The 17,437-nt window shown below is 39.1% G+C and overlaps 1 protein-coding gene across 16 annotated transcripts in view, besides 2 other annotated features; it reads left to right on the forward strand.

Annotated features, from left to right (window-relative positions):
* Positions 1-1,414: 1,414 nt before the first annotated feature.
* The window catches only part of RRAGB (Ras related GTP binding B), a 41,026-nt gene continuing 25,003 nt past the window's right edge, over positions 1,415-17,437 (forward strand). For 9 of the 16 annotated variants that reach the window (NR_148685.2, NR_148691.2, NR_148692.2 and 6 more), the window contains exons 1-6: positions 1,415-2,085; positions 2,980-3,013; positions 5,852-5,951; positions 10,973-11,056; positions 12,960-13,026; positions 15,030-15,252. Coding sequence is in view for 6 of the 16 variants with exons in the window: in NM_016656.4 (NP_057740.2) it covers positions 1,994-2,085; positions 2,980-3,013; positions 5,852-5,951; positions 10,973-11,056; positions 12,960-13,026; positions 15,030-15,252 (600 nt within the window). In the remaining 10 variants the exon portion in view is untranslated. The remainder of the gene's footprint in view (positions 2,086-2,979; positions 3,014-5,851; positions 5,952-10,972; positions 11,057-12,959; positions 13,027-15,029; positions 15,253-17,437) is intronic. The other 7 variants (NR_148688.2, NR_148683.2, NR_148690.2 and 4 more) reach the window with 3 other exon arrangements.
* Positions 1,544-1,743: an enhancer, noted in NCBI's record as "active region_29681". NCBI's record gives its function as "activates an Ori minimal core promoter by ATAC-STARR-seq in GM12878 lymphoblastoid cells {active_cell/tissue: GM12878}" and the evidence as "EXISTENCE:reporter gene assay evidence [ECO:0000049][PMID:35858748]".
* Positions 1,904-2,033: an enhancer, noted in NCBI's record as "active region_29682". NCBI's record gives its function as "activates an Ori minimal core promoter by ATAC-STARR-seq in GM12878 lymphoblastoid cells {active_cell/tissue: GM12878}" and the evidence as "EXISTENCE:reporter gene assay evidence [ECO:0000049][PMID:35858748]".

Consider the following 17,437-nt stretch of genomic DNA (forward strand, 5'->3'; position numbering starts at 1 on the left):
GCATGGCCCCTGAATTGTAATTTCTAATCTTGTAATCTTGTGGCTAATTTGTTAGTCCTGCAAAGGCCGACTGGTTCCCAGGTAAGAAGGTTTTTTTGTTTTTTTGTTTTTTTTTAGTGGGGGGCAGCGGGAGGGAGAAAGGGCTATTATCAATTTTGTATCAGAGTTAAACTATAAACTAAATTCCTTCCCAAGGTTAGTTCGGCCTACGCCCAGGAATGAACAAGGACACCTTAAAGGTTAGATGTAAGATGGAGTCGGTGAGGTCTGATCTCTTTCACTGTCATAATTTCCTCAGTTACAGTTTTTGCAAAGGCAGTTTCAATAATAGTACTCTGTTTCCTGCAGTTTCTCTTCCTTCCTTCCCTTTTTTTCTTATCAAAGTAATATATGTACACACTTACGTGTAAATAATACATGTAGTATATCATATATTAATTATAAATAATATAATTAAACTACACATTTATTTAAAATAACATATTTATAACATATTATTTAAGTATTAGTTGATTATATTAAATATAATTAAATGTCATATTAATCTTATTATTATATATCATTTATACATTATAGAAATATATATAGCACAGAAGGGCTTCAGATAAAAAATAATAGTCCCCTGACATATCACGTCCTATCCCCTACCCCATTCTCCAGAAGGAACATCTTTGAACCCCTCTGGGCATTTTTCCTGGTGTGCATATCCCTACCAGTAGTCTTTCTGTTCTCAATTCTAGACTTCACTTATTTACAGATGGGGTCTCGCTATGTTGGCCAGGTTGGTCTTGAACTCCTGGCCTCAAGTGATCCTCCCTCCCCAGCCTCCCAAAGTGCTGGGATTAAAGGCATGACCCACCACTCCCAGCCCTAGACTTTATTTATTGACTTCTTACTATGGTACTTCCTTCACTTCCTGTTTTAAACAAGTGGGAAGATGAATGTGTGTGTTAAAATTCCTGATGAATCCCTGGTTTCAGCAATAACGATAATTTATACAGTATTTGCTATGTGGAAGACACAGTTCTAAGCGCTTTGGATGTATTAATCATTTAATTACAAACTCGATTGCAAGAATTAACAATAAAAAGCAGGAAGGCAAAGACAATGCTCGGTCTTCCCAGTCAAAAACCATTACCGGTAACCAGCAGTAAAAAAGAGAAGCTCAGAGGCACTGAAATTGCAACCGGCTCCTTTAATTCTCCATAGCGGATGGGTGGGGCCAGGCCCACCCACATTAGAGAGGCTGAAGGCTCCCAGCGCCCTACCCCGCCCGAGGGGCGGAGCCTGAGCCAAGGCCACGTGATGATGACAGACGGCACTCTGGCTTTCCTGGAGCTGTCTCTATGGTATTCTTCCCAGCCCACCCGTCCCTTTGGTAGCGGCAGTCACGTGACAGACTCCGGGGTAAGGCAGATGCCCACGTGATCCTGGCCTGCAGTTGGGTGGCTGCGGTGAGATACCTGGGTTCCTGAAGGGCGGGTGGTTAGGTCGTAACTACTGCCCCCGCCGGCTGACTCTCCGAGCGGCCGGGCTCGGAAGCCACGAGCCAGCTGAGGCGTTCTCCGCTTAGTGCCTACGGCATGGGTCAGCTCTTTCTGCCACCTCCGCCTTCGCGGTCCTCACCTCTTTGCGGGTGAAGTTACCTTTGGGTTTCCAGACCTTGGGGGCCTGAGGCCCAAACTCGGGACGAACCCCTAACCCACCTCTCTTTTCCTGTCATTCTCCAACTCTTACTTTGTACCACGGAATCACTTGGCCTTAAAGCTAGCCAGCTCGGCCGTGCCTTGAGGCCAGGTTCGAGAGATAAAGGTAACCGTGGGGAAAGCGGCCCCCCAGTGGACAAAGGCGGAGGCAAGAATAGAGCAGGCCTGAGGGCCATAGGCGATGAGAATAGGCAGTTGAGGGGTGAAAAAGAAAACAAACAAACAACAACAACAAACCCTGAAGAGTACTGAAGATTTAGAAGGGACTGGAAAGGACTTGTTGCGCAATGGAAGAATCTGACTCTGAGAAAACGACGGAGAAAGAAAATCTGGGGCCGAGAATGGATCCACCACTAGGGGAACCGGAAGGATCGCTTGGGTGGGTGAAGGGTATTTGTGAAACCTGGAAGTGGGGGTGTTCAAATTGAAGAGAGTATTGTGAATTAGAACACTTCTCCCCACCCCGCACCATGATAAATTGCTTTGATTTACCAGTAATGTTGATTGGGATTATGCTTTGGACGACAGGATAAACTGGAAAGCGAATTGGTGCTAACTGATCAGAAACAACCCTTGGGAAGGGGCTGATATTCCTGGTGGTGGTGCTGGGGGAGTGTTCTAATTAAAGCAGTTATGAGTTGCTTTGAATTATCAGTAAAGGAGATTTGCTGTCACCAGGTTGGGGATGGAAAGACTAGAAAGAAGATTTGCATTTCCAGGTCAGAGCTTGAGGGTGTTTTCTGTGCCAATTTGTACCTGAATTTGAGACTTACATCTACTTTGTGTCTGTGATGAGTGAAATAGGGCTTGGAAGGACAGCTGAAGGACTAAAAAGATACTTCCAGATTTTAAAATTAGGAGGCTGAATGTTTTTTATACATAGAAGATATTCAATACTCAGTCCTCAAGTAGAGGATATCAATATATTCTGTTTTTTTAGAAATAGAAGATATTGTTTGATTAAAGCAGCTGTGTTGCTTTGATTAAGATGATGAAAAATTGAATCTTGAATTTTAATGGCTCATTTGTATTCCTAAATAAATCTTCCTAGGAGTTCTCTCTTGAACTTCTAATTAGGAGATAGAGAGTATACACACAGTTTTATAATTTAGGAAAATGGGACCTCTATTCATCTGAGGTCCCACACACACAGCTGTACTCAGCCGTTGTACTAAACATGCTCTTTTGTACCTCCATGTTTATTTATACTTCATTAATTTCAATTTCTAAGGGAATTGGATCATGGAAACTGTTTTTTGGTTTATATCTGCAGGTGGGTGCTACCAAATACAGCCATGAAGAAAAAGGTAAGACGTGTTAGATACGTCAAAACCATGAAGGTAAAGGTAAGAAGTTGATATTCAGGAACTTTGTGACATATATACACCATCTTTTCTGGACTATTGCAGGAGCCTTCTGTGTGGTCTGTCTGACTCTCTTCTCCTTGTATGCTATCAGATTTAATTTTTCTAATATGAAAATCCGACTGAGTCATCTACATACTTAAGAACCTTTAGTAACTTCTTTAAGCCCATGGAATAAAATCCAAATGATTTCATGGCCCTTTAAAATCTGTTCCTGACCAAACCCTGTGCCACACTTATGCACCCTATCACAGCCCTACAGAATTTATTGTTCTCCAGATTTACAAATTAATTTGCACTTTGTGTAAGCCATATACACACACCATACAGGCCTCTGTCTGCACATTTATTTTTAACCTAACTCAAGTGTTACCACTATAAGGTCTTATTGAGTTCTTCAGATAGAATTGGACACACCTTCCTTTGTGCTCTCATAGTACTGTGCCCTACGTTGGGGTTTAGGCAGAATTGCTAAGAGTGCAGCTCAAGCTAATTTCTTAACCTTTTGGGGCTTCAGTTTCCTCATTTGTAAAATGGTAGTAATAATATTAACTGTATCGTAAGATTGTTGTGACGTTTAAATTAGTAAATGCCTGTAGAACACTTAGATCAGTACCTAACATGATTAGCCTTGGTAAGTCTTTCATAGGCAATTGAAAGAGGTACACTGTATAAATTAATAACCGAAGGAAATGTACCATATTTAGCCTTAGCTTCATCTAATAATTCAGTTCTGTAACTACAGTTTGCTAAGAGAATGTTCTTGATGAGCCTGTCTGAAGTTGCTTTCATTGAGAATGCCTAAAAGTACAGAAATTTCTACATGATTAAGAACAAAAATTAGCTTGATTTAATCATTCTGCATTGTATACATATATCAAACATTGCATTGTACCTCCTAAATATAAAGAGTTATTGTTTTTCAATTAAAATTTTAAAGTACAAAAGCAAACTTTTTGTAGCAACTTTAGACTGGCTCAGCAGTGGCATTTCCTTAGTGAGATAAAGTTATATAGCTACATTTTTAGATTAAATCAAGTCTGAGTGTAGTATATTTTCATCAATACTTCTTATATTAGTAATTAGAAATTTGTATAAAATATCTTGGGATTGAAGGTAGAACATAGGTTCCCTTCATTTGAAAAGCAAGTTAAGGCTGGGCACGGTGGCTCATGCCTGTAATCCCAGCACTGTGGGAGGCTGAGGCAGGTGCATCACTTGAGGCCAGGAGTTCAAGATCAGCCTGGCCAACATGGCAAAACCCTGTCTGTACTAAATATACCAAAAAAAAAAAAAAAATAGCCGGACATGATGGTGCATGCCTGTAATCCCAGGCATGGGATGGCTGAGGTGGGGGGCTCAGGTGGGGTGGCTGAGGCATGAGAATCACTTGAACCCGGGAGGCGGAGGTTGCAGTGAGCTGAGATCATGCCACAGCCCTCCAGCCTGGATGATAGAGTGAGACTTGGTCTCAAAAAAAATAAAATAAAAAAGAAAGAACGAAAAGGAAAGCAAGGTAATTGGAACTATATTTCATAAATTCTAGATTTGAAAGGACTCTCAAAAGTCACTTTACTAAATTCCCTTTTAGTACGAGAGTATAGAACATCATTGACGAGTGCTCTCTGTGTGACATGCTGACATTGACAGGAAGGCTGCTTACCTTCATGAGGCTACCTTTTCCCTTGGACAGTTCTCACTGTCAGATACTCTCTTGCTTTCTATATTTGTTTTGATAACTTGCTTGTTCTTTTGATGTACATACTTTGAGCATCTGTTGTATGTTAGGCACTGGAGGTATGAGGGGACTTTCTCTCCCCTTCCAGAGCACAGAGTCTTCTGAGAGAGAAGGACAGACCCCCCAAAATAAGTAACTGCAATGCATTATAGTCTTTGCAATGAAATAACAGTGCCATGGGAGGACAGAGGTAAGACACTTAAGTCAGCCTAGAGCATTAGACTCAGAATATCTTCTTGCAAAAATGATTACTGAACCAAGTCTTGAAGGATAACTGCAATTTAGCTGAAGGAAGAAAAGAGAATGGATAGTTTACTGGCAGAGAGTACTGCGTGAAACAATGGCACAGATGCAGGACCTCCCAGACGGCTGGGAACAATCAGAGGGACTACCAGCAGTTCAATTAAGTGTGGCTGTAAGCTAAAAGTTTCAGGCCAGGAGGGACAGGAGATGAGGGATGAGAAGTAAATAGACTAGATCAAGGAGGGTCTTATATGTAGTCTAAGGACTTCATCCTGCAGGCCATGGGAAGCTTTTGAAAAGAAAAAGGAGGGACAGTAATAAATGGAATAAGAGCATAGAGGTAAGTAGAAGGGATGAGATCAAAGGCAGAGGTGGAAAGATTGACCTTGATCAGAAGGAGGAAGAACTTTCAGTTATGTTGCAATCCTCTACTAGGTAATTCAGTTAACAAAACATTGGGTTATGATAGAACAGGGTTTAGTTTCCTCTAAACTTGGTATTTTTCTAACCTGTTTCTGAACATATTAATGGTGCATCTTAATAGCATAAATTCAGTGTAATTCTGTCACCTAAAGGATGTATGTCCTGTGACAGGTAAGTACCTGGCTCCTGGAATTCTAAGTATCTCTGCATTCACCCTTCGTTGGGAAGAGTTTAGTTAGTTGTGAGTATGCGCACCAGGTTGTTGGTACTGTCAGTTCAGGAAAATATCAAATCCAGGAGAGAAATAGATCCCTTTAGACTTGATTTGCTCTAGATTGCTAACTTTTTTCCTTTCCTTTTCCCTACTTTGTCCTTAGGTGCTGTTGATGGGTAAAAGTGGGTCTGGTAAGACCAGCATGAGGTCTATTATCTTTGCAAATTATATTGCCAGAGACACACGTCGCCTTGGCGCAACAAGTAAGATGTTTTATCTTATTGTAAAGTCAGGTGATCTTAACTATTAATAATCTGCATAACACACTTGGTTTCAGTACCTTGGGGATGCAGAGAGGTTGGGGAATTTGTTATGGAGCATGTTTACCCTTTTTGCATTCGTTTTCAAAGAGGTGTGGCCTAATACCAGTTACTACTGCTTGCTGTCTTGGGGGAGGTTCTTTTCTTTCTAGGTTGTTTATGAAGTGGATTGCCCTTGTCCAACTTTTTGTTTATTCTGCTATTTCTTAAACAAGCATTGTTTGTTCGTCTTGTGGGGAGAGTGTTTTTAACTCTTATACAAAGGGAAATCCATAGGTATTAACAAGCATAACAGTAAAATATGCTAAGATTTTTTAAAGCAGTAGTTACACCTTGTCTTCGTTGAAAGGTAAATTACGGTGGTGGGAAGGAAAGAAGTTAACTTGATCTGTACTCTGCTACTTCTTTTCCTGGATACACATAGATGATCTCATTAGAGTTTTGGTTCTGACTTAGGGAATATGTTGTTGCCTTTTATAGTTTGAGTGTTAGTATATACTAATTGGGCTGCCATGGACAGTGAATGTAGGATCCTGGGAGAGCCCTTCTGTCTCTGGGTTGTACTGCCATTTCATTCTGCAGCATTCAAGCATTTCTGGATTCTGCTTGGTCCTTGATTTTTAGGGAAAGGCCACCCACTACTCTACACATTTCCTGAAGTTTCAAGAACAACATTTTAAAAACACAGTATGTTTCAGACCCTAGGAAATAAAGGAGAAGGAAACCTCATTTCTGTTATTATCGTGCTTGGAGTGTAAGTGTAGACTCTCATAATTGGGGCAGCTTTGTTGTCTAGAAAGCTGTTTCTTGAATGTATATATATGTATTTTTTGAGATGGAGTCTTGCGCTCTGTTGCCCATTTTGGAGTGCAGTGGTGCAGTCTTATCTCCTGGGTTCAAGTGATTCTTGTGCCTCAGCCTCACGAGTAGCTGGAATTACAGGCACCCACAACGACGCCCAGCTAATTTTTGTATTTTTACCAGAGATGAGGTTTCACCATGTTGGCCAGGCTGATCTCTAACTCCTGACCTCAAGTGATCTGCCCGCCTCGGCTTCTCAAAGTGCTGGGATTACAGGTGTGAGCCACCGTGCCTGGCCTATTTCTTTTTTTTTTTTTCTGTTAGCTTGTTCTCTTTCTGTTCTCTTAAGCCTCTACAAATATTTGAGGATAGTCAGTGTCTCAGTTTGTCCTAGCGATCTCTTGCCTCACAAATCTTTTTTTTTTCTTTTTGGAGACGGAGTCTTGCTCTGTCATCCAGGCTGGAGTGCAGTGGCATGATCTCAGCTCACTGCAGCCTCCACCTCCTGGTTCAAGGGATTCTCCTGGCTCAGCCTCCCAAGTAGCTGGGACTACAGGTGTGTACCACCACATCCAGCTAATTTTTTTTATTTTTAGTAGAGATGGAGTTTCACCATGTTGGCCAAACTGGCCTCGAACTCCTGACCTCAGGTGATCCGCCTGCCTCGGCCTCCCAAAGTACTGGGACTGCAGGTATGAGCCACCATGCCCGGCCATCTTGCCTCACAAATCATGTCTTCCTTAAGTTAAAAATGTCCAGCTCTTCCATCTATTTCTCATTTGACATATTTTGAAACATTTTTGGGGACTTGTTCAAACTTGTTTACATTTTTCTTATGGTATTGAGAGTTAGATGCAGGTGGAGTCTGATCAGGGCAGAGTGGGCCTATCACATCTCTTATTCAGGACATTACATTGCTGTTAGCACAGTCTAACATGTATCCTCCTTTTTTGGAGTAACTTTCGTTATGAGGAGACTTACTAAAAAACTCTTTCAAATAGTTCAAATTCCCTTTCAGATATGTTGTTATTAAAACACATACCCTTCTGGCTCTTGTGCAGTTAATATTTTGAACCAAAGAATAAATGCTTACTTCTATTAAATCATTTAGTTTTGTTTGTTTTAGCCCATGATATGTTCCTGTACCCTTTGTTTGTTAACTGTGAAATCCAGAACAAGTCCAATCCCTTTTTCCTCATCCATAAAAAAAGGGATTGGATCCTATTTTCATTTTAGCTACTTATTCTCTTATCTGATATATTAGTTATCTTTCCTAACTCTAATATCTGATACATTAGCTATCTTTCCTAACTCCATGGAGTTTGTACATTTGATGAATATCTCATCTAGTTTTCATCTAAGTCATTGACCAAAAGTTTTGGTCAGGATAGTGTCCTATGGCCTGTCATGCCTCTATAATTGACATCTGTAGCTCTGGCCTCTGGAATGTCTACCTGTCCAAACTTCTCTCTGCTTGATTTGATAGATTAAAACTTTTTTTTTCTTTCAAGTTAAATATCTGGGCCTAATTACCCTTATGATTTCAGTAGATTAGAGGAAGCTAATGGTTATTGAACAACTGTTATTTGTCAGACTTTTGTTTACTGTTTTATTTACTTTAGTTCTCATGTTAACTTCATTTTTATAGAGAATAAAGAAGGAGGTACAACTTAGAAATTAATATTACTCAGCTAGGAAGTATCAGAGCTGGAATGTCAATCTATGCTCTTGCTTTATTCCTTATGCCACATTCTATCTAGCTTACCCTCTGCTAACGATTCCTGGCAGACTTATTTTTATTTCTGTTTTAAATTCTGAACACTTTTGTTGAAGCATCTTTTTCTAGTCCAATTGCTGTTGCTGTTTTTATATAGCTGATCAGAGTTGACTTATTACCCTGAATCCAGAGAACAGTCTTGCAACCAGCATTTCAGAGTTATTCAAACTGCTTGAAATAGTTTTGACATAACCTAGCAGCCTTATTGTGAACAGAATTTTGCAAATTATATGAACCCCATACATTAAGGCAAACCATTTATTCAGCAAGTACTTTTCTGAAACTTTTTATGTAGCAGGCACAGAGAACGGGACAGAGCTCTTGCCCTTAAGAATATCTCAAGCAGGACCTTTATTACTAATACTTTGTTAGTAATCACTGTATCTCCTTACAGGTAGTGAAAGTATACTTTAAAATATTATGTTGGTCTTAAGGCTTTAGGATATCATCATTAGCTAGTTTGTCATTGCTAAAGAAATACCTGCGTTCTATTGCTAAACTTATAGACAAGTTCAAAATGCATATATAGTGCTCTGCTTTTTATTTGATAGTCCTCTTTATGTAGTTGCTGATTTTCTTTAAAAGTAGTAAGAGTACTTTTAAAATATTGCATTGATTTTAATGTTTTAGTGTTTTTCTAGTTTCTCATTGCTGAAAATAGTCCAGTTTTATTTTGTTAAACTTAGAGCCTGCTGTGTTTTGAAATTTGAAGTAAGAATACATGATGGTGATATTATTAACTTATTAGGGGGCTGCTAAAATGTATTTGTTGGAACAGTAAACTTGTCAATAAAAATGATTATGAAGTATTTTAGTCTCAAACACTGTTGACGGCTCCAAGATTTCCTACCTTCTCAAAATTCTCTGTTCCCTTGGCTTTTATTTAATGCTCTATTACCCTGGTTTTCTTCCATTATCTTTAATTATCCCATCCCTCTTTAAAAAAAAATCTTTATCATAGTATTTTCTTCTTTCTGCCCCGTAAGTGTGTGTCATTCCCCAAAGCTCTGTTCTTGGTTCTTTTTAGTTGTTCTTGTGATAATAGGGTAGGAAGACTAGGAGAGCTAGAGATCCATATATGGAAGACATGAGACTAAAGAGGGAAGCAGGAAGTGGGTGGTTAGATCATAAAATGTCTTGTAAGCCAAGTTAGATAGTAGGAACTGAGGGTAAAGAGAGTTTTAAACAGAAGAGCGATATTTTACAGGTCCCAGGGATTAAGGAAAATGTTAAAAAAAAAAAGAAAAGCAACATGAGCTGATTTATATTTTATTGTTTTTAATTTTCAGTTTTAATTACAAAAGTAGTACTTGTGAAAAATTCAAACATTACAGACGTGTAAAAAGCCTCTTTTCTCCCTCACTCTCAGGCCTGCTTCCTAGGGACAACCACAATTAGTAGTTTTGAGGTTATCCTTCTGGCCCTTTCTTTTCTGGGTGTATACAATCGTGCATATGCGGAGAGACATGGTTTTTTTCTGTTTAAAGAAGAATAAAAATCTGCATTTTGGAGAGAGATCACTCTGTCTGTAATATGGAGGATAGATTGGAGGGAGGGAAGGCTAGAAACAGGTTGGTAAGTTAGGAAACTATTTTAATAGACCAGGTGAGAGATGATGGGGGCTTGATTTGGGCTAGGGTGATGATAGTGGATATGGTGAGAAGCAAATGGATTTGAGATCTATTTAAGAGATAGAGTCAGCCGGACTTTCTGGTAGATTTGGGGAGAATGATGAGGAAAAAAGTGGACTGAAGGATGAAACTGAGGTTTTGGCTTAGGCAACTGGTTGAATTCACTAAGATAAGACTGAAAGAGGAATAGATTTTGTAGGAAGAAAGGGGGAGATGATGAGTTACATATACTTGGATACGTTGAGTTTTGGATACTTGTGGTTCATTCAAATGGAGATTTGTAATATATGTCAGAAAGGTAGAGAAATCTGTTCTAGAGATACCTGTTTCTGAGTCGTCAGTGTCCAAATGGCAAATAAAATAATAAGAATAGACTAGCTTGCCTTGGGGAAGGTGGCCAAGGATGGAGTCCTGAAGAGCTCCAACATTTAAGGGACAGAAAGAAGAATAGGAATTGTAAGGGAGGATCTGCCAGAGAAGTTGTAGGTATGATATCAGAGACCAAGAGAAGAGAATTTTTTGAGAAGAGAGTAGTCAACAGTGTCATGCTGCAGAAAGTAAGACAAGGACTAAAAAGTCCACTGGATTTGGTTATGGGGCCATTGGTCACTTGATGAGAATAATTTCTATGATATGGGAGTAGAAACCTGATTTCTATCCCATGTGCCCCATGTCTAAACAGTCACTGACTCCTGTCACTTCTTTTGTTATTGTCTTTCCCTTTCTCAGTAGCACTTCTTTCCATTTTTTTTTAGTACTAGACCGTATACATAGTCTTCAAATTAATAGCAGTTTGAGCACCTACTCTCTCGTAGACTCTGTTGGAAATACAAAGACATGTAAGATATGATTCCTTTTCCAAGGAGGGGGAAGTAAAGGGGAGAAGGGAAGTAGTTTGAGCACCTACTATGTGCCAGGCACTTTATGTATGATAATTCATTGAATCCTCATAGTAATCCTGTGAGGTCAGTGCTATGCCCCGCCCCCCCGCTTTCTTTTTTAATAGAAGCGGAAACTAATACCCAGAGCTTAAGTGACTTGCCCAAGGTCACATAGAGAGGTAGAGCTGATATTTGAATGAAGATTTGTTCGATTCCAAAGCCTGTGCTTTTTAAAATAATGCTCTGCTGCTTGTGATGTAGTTTATAAGAAGATAAAATTGCACAAAAGTTAGATAGCAGTCAATTTAAGCAACAGCTTTGAGATAGTCATAGGAGAGATATCACTGTGTGATTGATTATCACAAATTGTATAGATGATAATTCCTAGACTTTGATAAATTTTCAGGATAAAATCTTTCATTATTACTCCTTGGGGTTTTTAGTGCCTGGCAGAGAGTAGATGCTTAATGAGTGTTTGAATGAATTCAGAGGGAGAGATGATGGTAAGTAGGGGTAGCTAGGCAGGGCTTTTAGAGGAGGTGGGATTTAGGCTGGCTCTTAAAAGATGAATATATTTTGAAAGAAAGATGGGGAGGGATTTCCAGGCAGATGAACAGAGTAGGTGAAGAATAGAGGGGAGGGAAGTGTAACTCAGAGGTCGCAAACAGGCAGCCTATATCCTGGATAAGGCCTGTAGATGTGTTTTGTTTGGCCCATGTGATGTTTTCTAAAAATGGGAATTAGTTATCAGCATGTAAAAGTTTTCATAAAAATATGGATTTCCCACTACTGCTGAAAAACTTAAAGATCTGGTAACCCAGAGTCCCCATTCCTGCATGGCAAATGAACCAGAGCTGAGTAACTGCTGCTCACTCTACTATCTCATTGGGTAGATGTTTACACTCCATATGTGGCCAACTTTGCTCATGTACGGTTACTGGCCTGGCCCCTGTTAGCAAGTTTGCGACCCCTGGTGTAAAGTATTTTGGGGGTTGGGGAGGCAGTGGGGTTTGGGAGGACTGTGAATAAACCAAATTGGGCTGGAGTGAAAGGCTTTATTAATGTGGATCATTGGGGAATGTATAGGTAGATTGGAAGCCAAATTGTGAAGGACCTTGAATGCCTCCCCATAGGCATGGAGGAGCCATTGAAAGTGTTTTGAATGGGGAGTGACATGTTCAAAGTAGTGTTAAGAAGATGAGCCTGGCAGTAGCCTGTCGGATGAAGTAAAATTGAGTAAGGCTTTTTGGTGGGGAGGTGAGTTATGGAGCTATTGTAGTAGTGTAGACATGAGATGATAAGGGGCTTCCTTAATGTTTGTGGTAGGTTATAAAATAAGGAATGGATTTGAGAGAGATTACAAAGGATTAGCAATGTATTGAATGTGGATAGAGGAGTCAAAAGTGGGAAAAAGTTAGGGTCATTAACTGGAAAGGAAATCAATAGCAGGAGTTCATTTGGTTATTGTTTTATGTTTGTTTTTTGTTACTTTTTTTTTTAATTTTTGTGTGTATGTGAGGTTGGTGGGGGCAAGTGGGACAGGGAAGACTGATTATATGGTATATATCTATTACATGTTGAAATTTTAACAGTATTATAGTTGGAGATTGTTTCTGCTCTAAGTATTAAACTACTAAAAAGTGAAATGACTTAACATGAGAGCCAGTTCTATAGCCCAGGGTAGTTTAGGTGCCTACCTTGCCACTAAACCACACTACTCAGCTGAAAATCACCTTCTTGTTGTGGCTTTGAGCATTTCACTCCACTTTGGTCCTTCTAAATTTCATGGGTTAGTGCTTTGCTTATTTTGAATTTCACTTCACCTGTTATAATTACTAGATTTGTCATATTTGTCTTCCAGTTGATGTAGAACATTCTCATGTTCGATTTCTGGGAAACCTGGTATTGAACCTGTGGGATTGTGGTGGGTAAGTACCATCTGCTTACTTGTTTGTGAAGCCGATGTCAGTAATCGTGGCATCTAGTATATCAGCATGGCGAATACACCTAGAGTAACTATCATTTGTAATAGATTGGATAGAATTACTTTAAAATTGACACTTGAGTCAATAAACATCTCTGACTTTTATGGAATTGTGAAAATGCCCTCTGTATGTGACATGTTTAAATAGCGCTAATCCAAGCTCCATCTAGGTATCTGTAGTTTGGGATAGATTATCCCCTTTCGTGGAGGAATAAATTAGGTTTCTGTCTCAGGCAGCCTGACACCAGTGCTGAGCTCTTAGCTGTCACACCATACTACTTTGTTCTTAGTTATAATACGTCAATAATTTTCTCCAGGCAGTCTCAATACTGTAGATCAGACACTGAGCACACATTCTCTAGCTAAGTTACCTACTTTTTGGAAGAGTAGGAGTTAGCTCTTCCTCTTATGAGCAAAATATTCACCACATATTCCATCACAAATGTACACACACTGTGGATGTATGCTGGCTATGGTGCATCTCTGTGCTGAAGGAACAGTGTGCACTGCACAGTGGATAGGAGCATAGGTTTTGGAGTCAGATTGGGGTTTGTACCTCAGCTCTGTTAGCTGTGTTATCTTGGGTAAATCATTTAAACTCTCTGAGCCACAGTTTCTTCATCTGTACAGTAGTGAAGGCAATGGTACCAGCTCATAGGGTTGTTTTGATGATTAAGTAAGATAATTTATACAAAGTTGCATAGCAGAGTGCCTCACAAAATACATAGATATTGTTAGCTCAGTGTATCTCGCTCTTAGCATAGAGCCAGCCATAGAGTGGGTGCTCAGTGAATATTTGTTGAAAGAATAATGCAATAGCTAAATACTCTTTAAGAAAATGACTCCATTCCTGCTAGCAGATGGATCACTTAACATCCTAGCACATATCTCCATACAAATCCTTCCTCATTATCATTGGTTCTAATTTTCTAATCTGTGTTAAGACATTAGTCCCAAGTCCCTTGCTTTTAGGCACTAAGATGTGATGATCTTCATTTTTAGAGATAAGGCAACTGAGGTCCAGGGAGATTATCATTCTGCTGAGTTCACACAGCTAATTAATAGCAAAGTGCAGGACTAGAACCTAGGTTCCTGATTTTTTTCTCCTACTACCGGATGCTACTGTTTTCTGCTGGCCAAGTGGTAATTGAGAACTTCCTGGAAAGCAGCACTTAGCCTAACGAGCAAAGAGCAACATTCTGTTAAAAAGTTACCATTGGAGTCATTTTAATGTAGTTTAGAATATTTGACTATTGAGTTATTCATTCAGCAAATTTTCATTGAGTACTTAACACTCCATTAGAAGCTGGGAAACAATGAAGGATAGTAACAGACATGGAACTTGCTGTCTAGGGAAGTGAATGGTGTTAATGAAAAACTCACAAACAAGTGTAATAACTTGTGGTAAATGTTAGAAGTAAGAGGAATGTATTGATATAAGAGCCTATGCTTAGTGGATTGACCTGTCAGGAGGCCATGGGTAGTTTCTGTGAGGAAATATGGATTGAACTGAAATCTAAAGAGACAAGCAGGAGTTAACTAGATGAGGAGGTGGGGGGTAGCATCTGAGACAGAGTGAACAGCATGTGTAAAGGCCACATAGTGGATAAACCATGTGCCACTTGAGGAATTGAGAAAAAGTCAGTGTGTTTAGAACATAAGGAGAGGGGCAGAGAAATGGATCTGGTACAGGAGAATCAATGAGACCGGGTAAGAAACAGAAAAGGGGCTGCACCAAATGATTGACACGCTCTGCAAACTTCTTTTGTTGGCTCAAGTTGTGGCTCAAGAGGTGAGAAGGTAAGGCCAGACTTATTTGTTATGATTTGCCCTTTAAATTGAAGCCTTAAGATTATCTTTCACATTGATCAAGCCAACAAAAATAGGCTATAAGTAGGAGTGATTGAATTGAGGATTTGCTTACTATATATATATTTTTTCTATCAGGCAAGACACCTTCATGGAAAATTATTTCACTAGCCAACGGGACAACATCTTCCGAAATGTGGAGGTTCTGATTTATGTCTTTGATGTGGAGAGCCGCGAACTGGAAAAGGACATGCACTATTACCAATCATGCCTGGAGGCCATTCTGCAGAATTCTCCAGATGCCAAAATATTTTGCTTGGTACACAAAATGGATCTGGTACAGGAGGATCAACGGGACCTGGTAAGAAACAGAAGAAGTGCTGCACCAAATGCTCGACATGCTTTGCAAACTTATTTTGTAGAGGTATAGGTAAATTTGTACCATTTTTTCAGGAATAAAAAGTCAGCAGAAGTTTTGAAAGTAAAGTTTTGTCATTTACTTTAACTAAACACTCTTTTAAACACATTTTCAATAAGGGAAAGATTTATTAGTAAATAATTTTCAGAATTAGGCAAGGATTCTGTCCAAGTGATCTCACTAAGCAGCATTTATTTATTTTTAAAATATATTTGCTGCCCCAGTTTTATTGTCCTTCAAAGCAGGGAGATAGTGTCAAGGTTAAGACCCACTAGGAGTGAGATGAAGAGAGGTTGCTGCTTTCATTAGATTGACTTAGGAAACTGGTATGCACCAGTTCAAGTGCTAACCACAGTGTGTTAGGCACTATGCCAGGTCCCTCATAATTTCACTGATTTACTAGATTTCTCTTTTCTGACATGGGAGTTAGTACACACAAATTTAAACCAGAGAAGGCACAGTAGCGGTGATGTCACCAAGATAGTGGAGTAGGAGATAACCAGTCTTCATTCCCCTACAAAAAAACAAATATAGATAGCTATCCACAAACCAAAATAGCCCTGAGAAGGCTCCGAGGCCCATTATAGAAAGACGTAGTAAAATGGGTAAACTCCTGCTTAGCTGTGAGACTCCAGGATTGGCAAGTCATATAGTCTAGCTGCAATATAGTCTGTCTAGTTTGCTCAGTATAAAATAAGAGGATTGGATTTTAAGGTCTATGCTAAAAGAGAAGATCCTCCTCTATTTCTAAGGGTATAAAACTAAGGAAAGCAGTTTTAGGATATGCTGGTCATATAGAGGAATACAGTTTCTCTTTGAGTTGGAGTATAAGAATCTAAGGAAATCCTTTAATGAAAGGATTTTTTGGTAATTGCTGTGGTAAGGAATACTTTTTTATATGACTAGTTACAGGATTGCCTCCACTGTTTTCTAGTGTTTTGGTATTTATAGGTTAGCTTATAGGCTTTCAAAAACCATTTGAAGGGTTCCATATTTGACTCAGAAAACTGCTTTTGATTATTTAGTAGTCTTTTTAGCTCTTTCTCCCTCAACTTCTGTCATGAAGTATTAATTACTGTTTAATACCTAATAATTAATATGGTTTTACTTCAGCAGAAAATCATGTACGCAGCTTGGGTCTTGAGTTTGTGAGGGCCTTGTTATTGCTCTTGCTGTTTTATTCTCGTTTCCTTTAAAAATCACTTTATTTCCTATCCAAAATTGCAGTAGAAAAACTTACAGCATTCCAATAAATGAGCTCCTTTAAACATTTAGAAGTGTTTTATTCACTTGTAATTTTGTGGGGTTTTTTTTTAGTATTTTAATTTATTTTATTATTTCAGTAACTTTATGGTTATATGTGGTTTTTGATTACATGGATGAATTGTACTATGGTCACGTCTGGGCTTTTAGTGCATTCATCACTTAAATAGTGTACATTATACCCAATAGGTAATTTTTCTTCCCTCACCCCCCACAACCTCCCCGTTTCTGTGTCTCCAGTGTCCATTATACCACTCTGTATGCTTTTATGTACCCATAGCTTAGCTCCTACTTACAAGCGAGAATGTGCAGTATTGGGTTTTCCATTCCAGAGTTATAAACAAGAGATAGTTTGACTTCCTTTTTTCAGTTTGGATCCCCTTTATTTCTTTCTCATGCCTAATTACTCTGGCTAGGACTTCTAGTACTATGTTGAATAGACGTGTTGAAAGTGGATATAATTGTCTTTTTCCAGTTCTTAGGGGAATGCTTTAAACTTATCTCCATTCATTTTGATGTTGGCTGTGGGTTTCTCATAAAGGGCTCTTACTATTTTGAGGTATGTTTCTTCTGTGCCTAGTTTGTTGGAGGTTTTTTTATCATAAAGGGATGCTGGGTTTTATTGAATGCTTTTTCTGCATCTATTAAGATGATCATATGGTTTTTGTTTCTAATTCTGTTTATATAGCAAATCACATTTATTGACTTGTGTATATTGAACCATACTTGCATCCCTGGGATGAAGCCCACTTGATCTTGGTGAATGATCTCTTTGATGTGCTGGTAGATTAGGTTTGCTAATATTTAGTTGAAGATTTTTGCATTTATGTTCATTGAGTATATTGATTTGTAGCTTTCTTTTTTT

This window comes from Homo sapiens, chromosome X (genome assembly GCF_000001405.40).
Source record: "Homo sapiens chromosome X, GRCh38.p14 Primary Assembly".
Lineage (NCBI taxonomy): Eukaryota > Metazoa > Chordata > Mammalia > Primates > Hominidae > Homo > Homo sapiens.